Source organism: Homo sapiens, chromosome 7 (genome assembly GCF_000001405.40).
Source record: "Homo sapiens chromosome 7, GRCh38.p14 Primary Assembly".
NCBI lineage: Eukaryota > Metazoa > Chordata > Mammalia > Primates > Hominidae > Homo > Homo sapiens.
The window spans coordinates 155,339,188-155,355,363 of NC_000007.14; the positions used below are offsets into that span (position 1 = coordinate 155,339,188).

The 16,176-nt window shown below is 54.9% G+C and overlaps 3 annotated features.

Moving 5' to 3' along the window:
- Positions 5,559-5,948: a silencer, noted in NCBI's record as "silent region_18845". NCBI's record gives its function as "represses an Ori minimal core promoter by ATAC-STARR-seq in GM12878 lymphoblastoid cells {active_cell/tissue: GM12878}" and the evidence as "EXISTENCE:reporter gene assay evidence [ECO:0000049][PMID:35858748]".
- Positions 9,934-10,800: an enhancer, noted in NCBI's record as "H3K4me1 hESC enhancer chr7:155141824-155142690 (GRCh37/hg19 assembly coordinates)". NCBI's record gives its function as "activates a minimal SCP1, AML or CMV promoter by ChIP-STARR-seq in naive H9 embryonic stem cells {active_cell/tissue: H9 hESC(naive)}" and the evidence as "EXISTENCE:reporter gene assay evidence [ECO:0000049][PMID:30033119]".
- Positions 10,801-11,666: an enhancer, noted in NCBI's record as "H3K4me1 hESC enhancer chr7:155142691-155143555 (GRCh37/hg19 assembly coordinates)". NCBI's record gives its function as "activates a minimal SCP1, AML or CMV promoter by ChIP-STARR-seq in naive H9 embryonic stem cells {active_cell/tissue: H9 hESC(naive)}" and the evidence as "EXISTENCE:reporter gene assay evidence [ECO:0000049][PMID:30033119]".

Below are 16,176 nucleotides of genomic sequence, written 5' to 3' on the forward strand. Positions count from 1 at the left end.
CAGACTCAGTCCCGGCTCAGTCTGGCTTCCATCTCTGGGGCGGCCTCGAGCACGGGCTCATCTTCCCCACACAGCAAACAGAGCCTCGGCAGGCTGTGCTTGGAGAAGCCACATCCTCTCAGACAGCAAGAAGGGTTTTATCCTGAGTACGTTTTTTAAAATTAAATTTCAGGAGTGGGGTTGGGAGCAGATTCTTTATTCTCCCACGAGTAGGTCTTTCCCACGGTGATGACCATAAGGACAACAAAAGAACGAGCGAGAGTCAGCATCACCTCCCGCCTCCCGAGCGAGGGTCAGCATCACCTCCCGCCTCCCAAGACACACGGGGAAGCCAGGCGCGTCTGTCACGGGTGAGGGCTGCTCTTGCCCAGGGCAGCCCAGGGAGGGGGTAGGCTGTTCAGCAGCCTCTGGGGCCTGGAGAAAGCGGGTCCCTTCTGGAGGTGTGACCCGGCCGGAGTCCTCCTGGGCTGACCCAGAGGGGCCCTCCTCAGCCCCTTCTTCCCACGGGAACTGCTGGATCCAGGCCTGCTGCGCGCCGCAGTGGGGCCAGCTGGCCTGTCCCATGTCAGGGGAGACACCCCGCCCAGCTGCCCAGGCACACACCAGCCCGCACCCACCCTCTAAGCCCACAGCTAAGCGCCCATCATGCACTCCAGCTTCAGACCCCGCTCTGGGGCTGCCACTGACTGCTATTTTAGCCGCTTGCTCCAGCTACCTTTTCATCAAAGGCCTTGAGACTCAGCCAATTCAGGAGACCACAATGGGCCCAAGAAGGCATCTGTGAATATGGCGTCTGCCTGTGGGGCCTCGTTCCCAGCAAAGGGACTGTCCATAGCCTTTCAAAGCGACAGGGCCCGATGGGAGAAGGGGGCAGAGAAGGAGAAGAGCAGCGGAGAAGGGAGCCAGCAGACATACTGGCCCGAGGCAGCGGGTTAAAGGCTGTGACGCCTGCTTTCCCAGGTCACAACGGAGAGGAGAGTCCGCTGGATGCTGCCCCAACCCTGGCCTGTGGCTGCAGCCCAGAGCCCTGTCCACTTCCAGGGGACCCTGTCATGCGTGGCAGCAGACACCCATCCCTGGACCGCAGGGTCTTCTTTCCTCTGAGCCTGTGGCCACACACCTGGCACAGGCCTGTGTCTGATCTGTTTGACTGGCTTGGCCCACTGTCCCGTGTGAGGCACACGGGACAGTGTGAGGCACAGAACCACAGGACCCCAGGGATGGAAGAGGTTGCGGAGGTCTGTGTCCAGCACCCCGCTGTGCAGAACGGCCTCCTTGCTTCCTGACGGGGACAGGGAACTCACTGCCTTTCTTGGTGCCCACTCTGCCTAGGATGCTCTGGGAGTGTCACTCTGTCACCAGCATTTGGTGTCACTTTCCTGCGGCTGTGGTGAAGCGTATCTAACAGAGAATTGACCAGCTTCGAATGCACCGTTCAAGGGCACAAAATCCATTCACAGAAATGTGCATTCTTCCCCACCATCTGCCTCCAGAACTTTCTTCCATCTCCTAAATGGAAACGACACCCACTAAGCAGTAACTCCCCACTCTGCCTCCCCAGCCCCAGCACCCACCATTCTACCTTCTGTTTCTGTGAATGTGACAACTCTAGGGACCTGCCATGAGTGGGATCATTCAATACTTGCCCTTCCGTGACTGGGTCATGTCCTCTGAGCTCACTCCTGCTGTAGCGTGGTTCAGGTCCCTCCCCGTGGCTGAGCACTCCTCTGCCGTATAGCGTGGGTCGGGTCCCGTGGCTGAGCACTCCTCTGCTGCACAGCGTGGGTTGGGTCCCGTGGCTGAGCACCCCTCTGCCATGCAGATGGACCACATGGGGTTCATCTCACCAGTATTTTAGGCTACCCTTGTCTGCTGGCTTCTTCCTCACAGCCTAAAAGTATGTTTAGGTCTCTTCCATGTATTAGCACACATAAAAATCCACAAAACAGCAAAATAGGGGCCTGAGACCCACCCACTTTGACATGGTGAAAACCAAGAGCCTGCGAACCACCTGCTTTGACACAGTGAAAACCAAGAGCCTGAGACCCACCTGCTTTGACACAGTGAAAACCAAGAGCCTGAGACCCACCTGCTGTGACACAGTGAAAACCAAGAGCCTGAGACCCACCTGCTGTGACACAGTGAAAACCAAGAGCCTGAGACCCACCTGCTGTGACACAGTGAAAACCAAGAGCCTGAGACCCACCTGCTGTGACACAGTGAAAACCAAGAGCCTGAGACCCACCTGCTGTGACACAGTGAAAACCAAGAGCCTGAGACCCACCTGCTGTGACACAGTGAAAACCAAGAGCCTGAGATCCACCTGCTGTGACACAGTGAAAACCAAGAGCCTGAGACCCACCTGCTGTGACACAGTGAAAACCAAGAGCCTGAGACCCACCTGCTGTGACACAGTGAAAACCAAGAGCCTGAGACCCACCTGCTGTGACGTGGTGAAAGAGCTTTCAAACACTCCCTAGCAACGCACCACATGCAGGGGGCTCAGACATCACAAACGTATCTCCTCTCAGTTCTGGAGGCTGGAAGTCCAAGATCAAGGTTGGGCAGGGCTGTTTTCTCCCGAGGCCTCTCTCTGTGGCTTGCAGTCAGATGCCATCTCCCTGGGTCCTCACATGGTCATGCCTCTGTGTGTCTGTGTCCTTATCTCCTCTTCTTCTAAGGACACCAGTCCTATGGGATTAGGGTCCACCCCAGTGAACCCATTTGACCTTAATTTCCTCTTGAATGGCTCTAGCTCCAAATACAGCCACATTCTGTGGCCTCCCCCCGGGGCTTGCAGACAGCTATTTTTACCTTCCCGCAGGGCTCTCCCTGTGGGTGTCTGTGTCCAATGTCCCCCATGTTTAAGGACACCAGTCATACTGGACTAGGGCTCACCCTAACAACTTCATCTTAACTTGATGACCTCTGTAAAGACCCTATCTCCCTATAAGGTCACCTTCTGAGGTCTTAGGGGTTAGGACTTCATCCTTTGGATTTATGGAGACACAATTCAGCCCCTAACATCTTGGAAATTCTAACCCACTTAACCCATTCTCTTCCCTGGAAGTTCAATATTGTTTTGATGTTTATGTGTAACATTGCTTTAAAAACTCTGTCTCTTGATCACAACAAGAAACACCAATGGTCTGCGTGGCTGTGGTTTCCCCGGCTCCCTTGTGTGGCTGTGGGTCCCCAGCTCCCTTGCTCCGAGATGTCTCTGTTTTGCTTTATGCAGTTTCCTTCAAGCCCAGCATTTCGTCCTAGGGGCCTCCCATGGACTGAATGTTGGCGAGGCCCCAAAATTCCCATGCTGGAGCCTCAAACCCCGGTATGGCTGTACGTGAAGTAAGGCAGCCATTAAGGTTACACGAGGCCATAAGGGTGGGCCCTGATCCCACGAGATTAGTGCTCTCATAACAAGGGACACCAGAGAGCTCGCTCATTCTCTCCTCCGATGCTGGCACCAAGAAAGGCCACTGAGGAGGGCAGGGCAAGAAGGTGGCCTTCTGTGAGCCTGGAAGAGGGGCCTCGCGAGAGCCCAGCCATGCTGGCACCCACCCCTCAGGCCTCCAACCTCCAGAGCCTGAGGAATAAGTGTCTGTGGTTCAAGCCACCCAGTCTGCGGTATTTTGTGAGGCAGCGGGAGAAAGCTATGGAGGGCTGTTATTTTGTTCGTATCATCTTTCGTGATGTGAAAGCTCTCTGTACTTTTAAAGTAGTAACCTTGACATTTTTCTAAACCATTCTTTACCATCTGCCTCTTTAATATTTGTTAGCAAGAGCTCCCCAACCCCCACTGCCCAATATAGTTCAAATATCTTCACTTTCCTCTACTTCTTTCTCACTCCCCACTTCCAAATTCCTGGTATGTTGATAGATTTTTGAATCATGCATCACCTCTTTCCACAAACTTTGTGATTCTGCATTCAGTTTACAAGCTTGGTTTTCTGTTGTTCTGTTTTAACTATTTCTACTTTAGTAACCCTACTGATTTCTTTTGTTTAACTCATCTTTGAACACCAATAACTCTGTACGATCTGTCTTGCTTAACCCACTCAGAACATGCACTTCACGCAGCCAGATCACAGCAACTACTGGGGTTTCACCTGGCATAATCCAAGCCTGAGGGGCCACTGTAGCTCTCCCCACTGCGGTCCTAACAGATGGAAGGGGACCTGGTCTCCCTCGTGCGATCTGAACTTGTAGTGTAGGCACCCTGTTAATATCCATGGAGTGATGGTAAACAGAGTCCAAATGCAACAAGAAATCTGCAAGTAACTGTCCTGGAGCCCAGGGAACAGGGCCAATGCCCACACTGCCAGGGGGACGGCTATACTGTACGGCTGAGTGGCTCCTCACCCTGTCCCCATGCCCCTGGGAACCCATCAGAGCATTTCTGTGGATGCCTGTCTTTGTCTCTCTTGACCAGGATATTCAGCCTCGCCTCAGTGGCATTTGAACAGGATAACTGTGTGGGGCTGTCCTGTGCAGGGCTGGGGGCCTCTCTGTGGGGCCATCGTGTGCATGGCGGTGGGCCTGCCTGCATCCCTGGCCTCTGCCCGTTTAGATGCCTGTGGCAGCCCCTCCTGCAACCAAATCAGCTTCAGACACTGCCAGTGGCCCCTGGAGCCAAAGACAGGGATTCAAAGGCAGGCCAAGGCTTGTCACCTGTCTCTGCCCCACACACAGCAGGCGCTTCAACGGCCTCAGCTCGCATTCCAGAAAGATCTGCCCACTGTGAGGCACAGGGCCTTTCTCCCACCTCACCAATGGCAGAAACGCACCTTTAGTGACCTGCGGCCCACCTGGGGATATTACCTGGGCATCGTGCCTCATAAAACCACACCCTAGGCTGGGCGCAGTGGCTCATGCCTGTGATCCCAGCACTTTGGGAGGTCGAGGCAGGTGGATCATGAGGTCAAGAGACTGAGACCATCCTGGCCAACATGGTGAAACCCTGTCTCTACTAAAAATACAAAAAATAGCTGGGCGTGATGGCATGTGCCTGTAGTCCCAGCTACTCGGGAGGCTGAGGCAGGAGAATCGCTTGAACCTGGGAGGTGGAGGTTGCAGGGAGCCAAGATCGCACCACTGCACAACAACCTGGGCGACAGCGCGAGACTGTCTCAAAAAACAAACAAATAAACAACAACAACAACAAAACAATGAAAAAACCCACACCCTACACTGTGGGGCCCTACGGCCGGCCGTGGTGCAGGCAACCTCCCCTTGACACCACTCCTGTTGCTGCGGGGCCTCCCGACCTGGGGCTGGTTCTGCGCTTTCCCTTTTCTGGGGCTTTGCCGGGCGCTTCCTGGGGCCCTCCTGGGACCTCCCTGGGGCTCTCCCGGGACCTTCCTGGGGCCTTCCTGGGGCTCTCTCGGGACCTTCCTGGGGCTTTCTCGGGATCTTCCTCGGGCTCTGCCAGGGTCTTCCTGGGGCCCTCCCGGGACCTCCCTGGGGCTCTCCCGGGGTCTTCCTGGGGGCTCTCCCGGAACCTTCTTGGGGCTCTCCCTGGAGCTTCCTGGGGCTCTCCCGAGTCCTTCCTGGGACCTTTCTGGGGCTCTCCCGTGGCCCTCCCGGGGCTCCCCCGTGGCCCTCCCGGGGCTCCCCTGCGCCCGTGTGTCCTTAGTGGGAGGGCGCTTTCAGCCTCCTCCTCCCACACACCTGTCCCGCCAGCGCAATCCAGGGGCCAGGGCGGCTGCTGAGGCCCCGGCCCGAGGAGGGGCGGTCACCCCGCAGTCGGACGCCGCCGCGCCCCACGCCGCAGGGCAGCGCGCCCCAAAGCTTCCCGCGCGGGGACTGAGTGGCGCCCTGGGCTAGTCCCCGCCCCTTCGCCCCCGCCGCGCCGCACCAGCGCCCCCTGGCGGCCATCCGCGCGCCGCGCGCTCCGACTCCCGCCCACCCTAGAGAGAGCGCGGAGCCCTGCCGGCGACTGACTTCAAGGCACAAGGCAGTGGGAATTTCGTCGCTGAGAAATGCAGCGTGTACGTCGGTTGTCTTTCCTTAAGCTGTATACACACTAGACGGAGCTTTCGGCAATGTATTCACTGAGGTTACAAGAGACAGGGACTTGGGGCTTGTTTTCTAGATTGCTGAAAATGAAGCTTTGAGAGCAGGGATGACACGTAAGTGGCTGAAACGTAAAAAACTGGAAGGTCAAATTACAAATGTAATAGAAATAGCCACCGGGTCCACTCAGTCCCCAGCCGCCTTGCAATCTGCTTTTTTAACTAGCTGCTCTCATCCGATTATAACAACCATCCGCCCCTTCAGTGGTTCCAGGGACTGCAGAGTCACATAAGAGAGCATCGCATAGAGCAAGTAACACATTGAGGGGGCACTCACTAAAGACAGCACCCACATAAAGAGAGCACCTACATACATAGAGCACTCACATAAAGAGGGCGCTCACATAAAGAGAGCACTCACTAGAGCATCTACACAGAGAGCACTCCCATAGAGAGAGCACCCACATACAGCACTCAGTAAAGAGAGCACCCACATACAGAGAGCACCCACATAGAGGGAGCACCCACAGAGAGAGCACTCACATAGAGCACTCACTAAAGAGAGTGCCCACATAGAGAGCACTCCCACAGAGCACCCATATAGAGCATCTGCATAGAGAGAGCACCCACACAGAGGGAGCACCCCCATAGAGACAGCACTCACATAGAGCACCCCCCTAGAGAAAGCACCCCCATAGAGAGAGCACCCTTATAGAGAGAGCACCCTTATAGAGAGAGCACCCCATAGAGAGAGCACCCCTAGAGAGCACCACCATAGAGAAAGCCCCCACACAGAGGGAGCACCCCCATAGAGACAGCACCCCTTAGAGAGAGCACCCCTTAGCGAAAGCACCCACACAGAGGCAGCATCCACACAGAGGGAGCACTCACATAGAGCACCCCCTAAAGAAAGCACCCACATAGAGAGCATCCCTATAGAGAGCACCACCATAGAAAGCCCCCACACAGAGGGAGCACCCCCATAGAGACAGCACCCCTTAGAGAGAGCACCCCTTAGCGAAACCACCCACAGAGGGAGCACGCACACAGAGGGAGCACTCACATAGAGCACCCCCCTAAAGAAAGCACCCCCATAGAGAGCATCCCTATAGAGAGAGCACCACCATAGAGAAAGCCCCCACACAGAGGGAGCACCCCTATAGAGAGAGCATCCCTTAGAGAGAGCACCCATAGAGACAGCACCCACACAGAGGGAGCACCCTATAGACACAGCACTCACACAGAGCACCCACTAGAGAAAATACCCCCATAGAGAGAGCACCCCATAGAGCCCCCACACAGAGGGAGCACCCCCACAGAGAGAGCACCCACACAGAGGGAGCATCCCATAGACAGAGCACTCACATAGCGCACCCCCATAGAGCACCCACACAGAGGGAGCACCCCCATAGAGACAGCACTCACATAGAGCACCTCCATAGAGAGAGCACCCCCATAGACCACTCACATAGAGCACCTAGAGAGAGCACTCACATAGAGAGAGCACTCACACAGAGAGAGCACCCACATAGAAAGAGCACTCACATAGAGCACCCATAGAGAGAGCACTCACAGAGAGAGCACCCACATAGAGAGCACCCACATAGAGAGAGCACCCACAAAAAGAGCACCTACATAGAGAGCACCCACATAGAGAGAGCACCCATATAGAGAGAGCACCCACATAGAGAGAGCACCCAAATAGAGCATCTACATAGAGAGCACTCACATACAGAGAGCACCTACATAGCACTCACATAGAGAGAGCACCTACATAGAGAGAGCACCCACATAGAGAGAGCATCCACAAAGAGAGAGCACCCACATAGAGAGAGCATCTACATAGAGAGAGCACTCACATAGAGAGAGCACCTACATAGAGCACTCACATAGAGAGCACACACAGAGAGCACCCACAGAGTACCCACATAGAGAGAGCACCCATATAGAGCACCTACATAGAGAGAGCACCCACATAGAGAGAGCACTCACAGAGAACACCTACATAGAGCACTCACATAGAGAGAGCACCTACATAAACAGAGCACTCACATAGAGCACTCGCATAGAGCACCTACATAGAGAGAGCACCCACATAGAGAGAACACCCACATAGAGAGAGCACTCAGAGCACCCGCATAGAGAGCACTCCCATAGAGCACCTACATAGAGAGCACTCACATAGAGCACCTAGAGAGAGCACCCACATAGAGCACTCACACAGAGAGAGCACTCAGAGAGAGCACCTACATAGAGCACTCACATAGAGAGAGCACCTACATAGAGAGAGCACCTAGAGAGCACTCACATAGAGCACCTACATAGAGAGAGCACCCACATAGAGCACCCACATAGAGCACCTACATAGAGAAAGCACTCACAGAGAGCACCCACATAGAGAGATCACTCACATAGAGTACCCCAGAGAGCACCTACATAGAGAACACTCACATAGAGAGTGCACCCACATAGAGAGAGCACCCACATAGAGAGAGCACCTACATAGAGAGCACTCACATAGAGAGAGCACCCACATAGAGAGAGCACCCACATAGAGAGAGCACTCACATAGAGCACTCACATAGAGAGAGCACACACATAGAGCACCCACATAGAGAGAGCACCCACATAGAGAGAGCACTCACATAGAGCACCCACATAAAGAGCACCCACAAAAAGAGCACCTACATAGAGAGAGCACCCACATAGAGAGAGCACCCATATAGAGAGAGCACCCACATAGAGAGAGCACCCAAATAGAGCATCTACATAGAGAGCACTCACATACAGAGAGCACCTACATAGCACTCACATAGAGCACCTACATAGAGCACCCACATAGAGAGAGCATCCACATAGAGAGAGCACCCACATAGAGAGAGCATCTACATAGAGAGAGCACGCACATAGAGAGAGCACCTACATAGAGCACTCACATAGAGAGCACACATAGAGAGCACCCACATAGGGTACCCACATAGAGAGAGCACCCATATAGAGCACCTACATAGAGAGAGCACCCACATAGAGAGAGCACTCACATAGAGAACACCTACATAGAGCACTCACATAGATAGAGCACCTACATAAATAGAGCACTCACATAGAGCACTCGCATAGAGCACCTACATACAGAGAGCACCCACATAGAGAGAACACCCACATAGAGAGAGCACTCAGAGCACCCACATAGAGAGCACTCCCATAGAGCACCTACATAGAGAGCACTCACATAGAGCACCTAGAGAGAGCACCCACATAGAGCACTCACATAGAGAGCACCCACATAGAGAGAGCACTCAGAGAGAGCACCTACATAGAGCACTCACATAGAGAGAGCACCTAGAGAGAGCACCTAGAGAGCACTCACATAGAGCACCTAGAGAGAGCACCCACATAGAGCACCCACATAGAGCACCTACATAGAGAAAGCACTCACAGAGAGCACCCACATAGAGAGATCACCCACAGAGTACCCCATAGAGAGAGCACCTACATAGAGAACACTCACATAGAGAGTGCACCCACATAGAGAGTGCACCCACATAGAGAGAGCACCCACATAGAGAGAGCACCTACATAGAGAGCACTCACATAGAGAGAGCACCCACATAGAGAGAGCACCTACATAGAGCACTCATAGAGAGAGCACCCACATAGAGAGAGCACCCACATAGCACCACTGTCAGGGCTGAGTGGTGCAGTTGCAGAGGGAAAGGGCTGCCAGGTATGTCCCACCCTGCTCACTGCCTGCCCCATGCCAGGACCTCTGGCCAGGTGGCCTTACTTGCCTTCAGGTGTCTGGCTGCGAACCCGTCTGTCTGACCTGGTGGAGAATGGGGCCTTCCATTAATCCCCAGATGCTCCTGCCTACTGTCAAAACCTAGGAAGAGAGAGAAGATACTTACCAACAATAATTTGAAGCCAGCAAGGCAAGAAGCTTTGCCCTTGGGGACCAGGTAAAAATTATAACAGATGCTGCAGCCTCTGCCAAAATGAATTTGTAAATGCGTCACTTTGGTAGCAGGCGCAGTAATGAAGAAAAATACACTTTTTTTCATTCGTGGGGGTAAACAGCTGGAAAATAATATTAGTAAGGGGGAAAAACAAAAGAGAAGGCTGGGGAATTCTTCCTGCACAAAAACAACAGGGCCAAAACTCTCGGTGCCTGTGGGAGGAGATGACGACGCTCATTCTTGCCTCGTCCTGCCACCGGGCACCACACTTTGCCCTTTGTAGGCAATGACAGACCTGGGAGGTGGAGAGAGCAGGAGAGCCACGGAGTCTGGAGCCAGCCACCAAAACTGCTGAGAAGCGAAGGAGGGACTCTGGAAGGCAAGGCATGAGTGTCCTTCACACAGCCTGCAGATCTCCTTTCACCACCTCCGTCCTGGAGGCTTCCTCCGCGTCGTCCTGGGGTTCTCCTGCCTTGGAAACCCAGCTGCTCCCCATGCAGCGTAGCCGGCCCCGCCCCCCTCCCGCAGGAAGCTCAGAGAGGGTGCAGAGACCTCGCAAGTGCAGGCTCGGCCATCATCGGAGCTCCACCAGTAGGGTCAAGGAGTACGCGGCTGGAGCAGGTTTCCAGCCCGGAAGGCATTTCCCTGAAATGTTTGAAGACGCCGCTGCACAGGCTTCTGACCTGCAGTGTCGCTGTGCGGAAGCTCAAGGCCACTTCAGGGCCGGAGCAAGACTTTGGGGTTCTTCACCCCGCGTGTGCTGGGCCTCACTCAGTGGGTAGACTTTCCCCGAATCCCCACTTTCAGCCTGGGCCCTACCCTGAACCCCGGTCCCGTGACTGCTGCTCCCAGGACAGAGCGTTTCTGGTTCAATTTCTCCCGAAACCAATGCCCTCGTCGTCGGCCGGAGCAGGGTTGGAAGACCATGCCAGCGCCTAACTGCTCCCCGAAAGACGTCCAGCCACTCTTCCTCTTCCCTCTCATGCTGTCCCTCGGGGGTCTCGGGTCCCAGTTTCCCGGCCTGCTGGGCTCACACACTCCCTCGGCTTCCTAGAGACCCGGCTTCCGGCTTCCTGCGGTCTCCCGGGCCGGCCTCCCCTCCCGGCTTCCTGAGGTCTCCCCGGCCGGCCTCCCCTCCCGGCTTCCTGCGGTCTCCCGGGCCGACTTCCGCTCCCGGCTTCCTGCGGTCTCCCCGGCCGGCCTCCCCTCCCGGCTTCCTGCGGTCTCCCCGGCCGGCCTCCCCTCCCGGCTTCCTGCGGTCTCCCGGGCCGGCCTCCCCTCCCGGCTTCCTGCGGTCTCCCGGGCCGGCCTCCCCTCCCGGCTTCCTGCGGTCTCCCCGGCCGGCCTCCCCTCCCGGCTTCCTGCGGTCTCCCGGGCCGGCCTCCCCTCCCGGCTTCCTGCGGTCTCCCCGGCCGGCCTCCCCTCCCGGCTTCCTGCGGTCTCCCGGGCCGGCCTCCCCTCCCGGCTTCCTGCGGTCTCCCCGGCCGGCCTCCCCTCCCGGCTTCCTGCGGTCTCCCGGGCCGGCCTCCCCTCCCGGCTTCCTGCGGTCTCCCCGGCCGGCCTCCCCTCCCGGCTTCCTGCGGTCTCCCCGGCCGGCCTCCCCTCCCGGCTTCCTGCGGTCTCCTCGGCCGGGCTCCCCTCCCGGCTTCCTGGGCCACACAACCCAGTGCTCGTTATTGCATTAGGTGTTGTTTCCTCCTCTTCCCTTTATTGTGGTGGGTTTATATATTTTCCATTCTTTACTTCATTAAGACAAATAAAACATACAAAGAATAATGAAATGGATACAAGTTGTTCCCGCCCTGTTAAGAAACAGAACGTGCAACACAGCTCAGCCCCCTTGGGCTCCCCTCCTCCTGGCCTCTCCCCGTTCCCCCACCCTAGATAGAACCTTTGCTATGGGTTAAATGTGTTCCCCCTAAAATTTATATGTTAACAGCGTAACTCCCCAGCACCTAGAACATGAGCTTATTTGGAAATAGGGTCTTTGGCACTGTAAGAAGTTCAGATGAGGTCATCCTGGAATACGGTGGCCCCAAATCCAGTGTGCCGGCGTCTTGGTAACAAGTGGAAATATGGACACAGGAACGCATGAGGAGACTGCCAGAGGAATAGTGGAGTGATGCTGTGGCCAGCCAGGGAGCCACTGGCAGCCAGAGAGGATGGGACAGACCCCCTCCCTGGTGCCCTGGAGAGACTGTGGCCCTGCGACGCCTTGCTCTTGGATATCCGGCTTCCAGAATCGTGAGATGATCCATTTCTGCTGAGGCCACATGGTCTGTGGTGCTTTGCGTGGTAGTTGCAGGAAGCCCATACGCTCCCCCTGAACTGGGCATTTGTCTCTTACCCCTAAGACCCTTTCTGTGAGTGTCTCTTGGTTTCTTCCTCCACAGGATGGACAGCGAAGGTGAAATGGAGGAGGAAAGCCTGGGGAGGCATGAGGAAGGCGGCTGGGCACCTAAGACCTTGGGCAGGACCCATTAGGGACCCTCAGCCACAGCTCAGCCCAGCCAGGGCCCTCCTGGGTCTGCACAGCCCCAGGCCTCATCACAGCCGTCATGGTGCTGCTCCTGCCACACCGGCAAAGGTCCCACTGCAGGAGTGGAGGGAAGAGCCTCCCTCACACTTTTGGGTCTGAGACTGCTTTGGACTGGAGGAAGCTCCATTTTGGGGTGGGACCAAGAGGCAGAGACCCCCTCAGAGGCAGCTGTGAACATGTGGACAAGTTACTGTGCCTATTCAGTTAGATCAGTCCAGCCACCTGATGCATTTGTGGCTGCACCAGAGACTGCCACTTGTCCTCTAGTATCCACTTTTCCTTCTAGAACCATCTAGGCTGCCCCGGATACTCTGTGAAAGATTTCGCTCCCCAGTCTCCATGTAGCTAAGGGAACATGTGGCCCAGGACAGTAGCAGAAGTGGCCCGAGAAGCTTCCGGCTGGGGTATGTATAGGGTGGCACATCTTGCCCCTTGCTCTGCTGGTGTGCAGGGGACACGGACATGAGCGAGGACCCAGGAGGATGCTGGACGGCTCAGTCTGGGGAGGAGCCATCCCTCTCTGACTCCTTTCACCTCCTGATGTGTACCGGGGCGAGGCTTACCTGGATGAACACCGTGAATGAAATGGAACAGCAGTGGGTCGAGCCCCGCCTTGGGGCATCGCAGCACCAGGAACGTGGCTCACACTAACATGCGTGACCTCGGCTAAGCTTCATGACAGTCCTGTAAGAGGAGGGCTGTCTTTATCCTCTTTCTCAGATGAGAAGACTGAGGCCCAGAGAACTCCACAGCCGCTCAGACCGCACAGGCAGGAAAAGGCAGATGTGGGACTCAACTCCAGCCTCTGCCGTTCGTCACCAGCTGAACGTGGGCAGTTACCCCTCTGAGTTTCCTCAGCTGTCCAAGTGGCAACTGGTGCCCTCAGGGCTGCTGTGAGGGCCGAGTGGGACAAGGACCAGCCGGTCCCCATTAAAGGGCCATTTTGAGGTGCAAAAAGGCTGATGTCTGCAACTCTGTTGGTGCAACCTCATATATAAAGAGCCAGGGGAGGGGCTAGACCTACAGCAGACACTGTCATCATCCTGATCTGGGGGGGCACCTTAAAGGGGAGCTGCACCCCCAAATGCCGGGAGCTTTTCCATTGTCCTGGGAGAACAGGGGAAGCCTGGGGTGGAAAATGCATTGGGTTTAACCGCAGCCTTTTGTGGGTGGCAGTGCTGTGCATGTGTGTGTCTGTGTGTGTGTGTCCAGGGATGGGGATTGTGGCATTTTATTGGTAACCTAAATAACTGTGGCGAAAGCTTCCAGCACAGTAGAAAGGCGAAGTCACTCATTGTTTTTTCATTAAGAGCGTCTAAATGACAGATTGGAGCAGGTGCAATATTATCATTTAATTTGTCTCTCTGCCATTTTTTAGGCTACAAGTGTTCTCCTGGGTCTTAGGAGGAACTAGTTGAAAACGTTCAAGGCACCGACCGTTCCAATGTTTTTAACAATTTAAAAGCAACTGAAGCTAGCAGAAATACTCCACTGTGAAAACATCAGTGCCATTAACCCACTGGACAGGACACCCCAGGATCACGCTTAAGTTGCGCTTTATTCTCAGACGCTGACTCCATTCCCAAAGGACACTATGACAAGAATTATCTTCTCCAGAGCAAAGGCAATCTTGCCCAAGATGCTCCAAAGATGTCCAGGCATAAAGCCAAGCCCTCGTCTTTAGGAATGATCAAGTCAGGCAGCAAGCTTGCCTCCCTGGGAGACCCCACCTCCACCCCACCAACCACATGTCTCTGCTTGGCTCTTCAGACTCCGGGGCTGCAGGCCAGGACCCCAGACACTAGAACTCAGGGGACACCTGGCTGCACTCCTTATCCTAACCAAACCATTTGGTAAGTGTGATCTTACCAGCCAGCTGCTTGTAGGGGAGATGGGGTGAAAACTGTGGTCCCCAGGAAATGGGATCCCCATCCTTGGACTCGGGTGTCCTGCCTCCCCGCTGAAGGGCAAGAGACACATCTCGCGTTCCTGCAACGGGTGTGGGGCTGGGGTACTCAGAGAAGATGAACAGACCGGCCCACACAGGAGAGGCTCAAGTGCCCTCTGGAATTTCCCCACCTGGGGTTATACAGCAAATACATTATGTGAAAGGCAGCCCCCAACTTTTATTAGATTTTCATCAGGAATGATCTTGTTAAATATTTAAGATGGGCTTTTGAGAATGATATTTTTAAAGAATCATGTGACAAAGAGAAGAACACGGGGAAGCATAAATTTTTAAAATTCATTCCCTCGATATAATAATTCTACGAGGCATTTATTGCTGCTCAGCTCTAAGGAGAACCAATCAGCAAGTATCTTTCTTGTGGCCAACTATCCTGTCCTCTTGGCCCCAGGACCCCCATCTGCAATCGCCAATCCCAGTTGTTTACCTGAACTAATACCAGCTGGCTGGATGAAGACGGTAACTCAGATTTTTTTTAAGGGGACTGACTTTTGTGTTCCCACTAAATTAGCACTGTCTCTCTTACTGAATTAAACAGATTCTCTATTTTGGCATAGTAAGGTCCAGTCAAAGCACACACATACACACACATTTGCATGCACAGACATGCCATGCAAGTTCACACACACACACACCTGCACACACACTTGCATGCACAAACACTTGCATGCACAGACAGGCCATGCAGGTGCACACACACACACGTACACACACTTGCATGCACAGACACGCCATGCAGGTGCACACACACACCTGCACACACACACAGCATGTACACACACTCGCACACACACACTCACCTGCACATGCACACAGCATGCACACACACTTACATGGACAGACATGCCATGTAGGTGCACACACACTCGCAAACACACACTCACCTGCACACACCACACATGGCATGCACACACAGACATGCACACACACTTGCATGCACAGACACACCATGTAGGTGCGCACACACTCGCACACACACGGCATGCACAACACGGCATGCACACACACTTGCGTGCACACACACTCACCTGCACACACCCATGGCATGCACACACTCACACACACTCACTCGCACACACACAGCATGCACACACACGTGCACACACACTCACCTGCACGCACACACGGCATGCACACACGCACGTGCACACACATGCACATACATGACACAGACTTGCACACACATAAGACATGCACACACTTGCATGCACCAATATGCCATGCAGGCACACACGCACACGACACACACATTCACATGCACACACGCACATATGTGATACACTTGCACACACATGACGTGCACATACTTGCACACACAGGCACACTATCCCTTCATGCTGTCAGACACATCCTGTCACGCTCAGGCTGTGGGCATGGAGCCCGAGGGCAGGACAGAAGGTTGGGAATCCCAGGGCTTGTGTGTTTCTGGTGCTGCCCAGCCCCTGTCTCCTGCTGGGAAGGCAGGGACATGGGGCAGGGAGCTCACCAGGGTCACAGAAGCCCAAGACGAAGATGATGATGATGATGATGGACAAAAGGAATAGTGGGGGCACCTGGGAGGCGTGACATCACATGCCTGAGCCCTGGCCCTGCCCCATCGATCCCGCCTTCCCAAGGGTACCCAGCAAGTGTGCCCTGCTTCAGGTCCCATTTCACTATTCAGCCAACACAGAATCCCCACCGAGGTGCCAGCAGATGCAG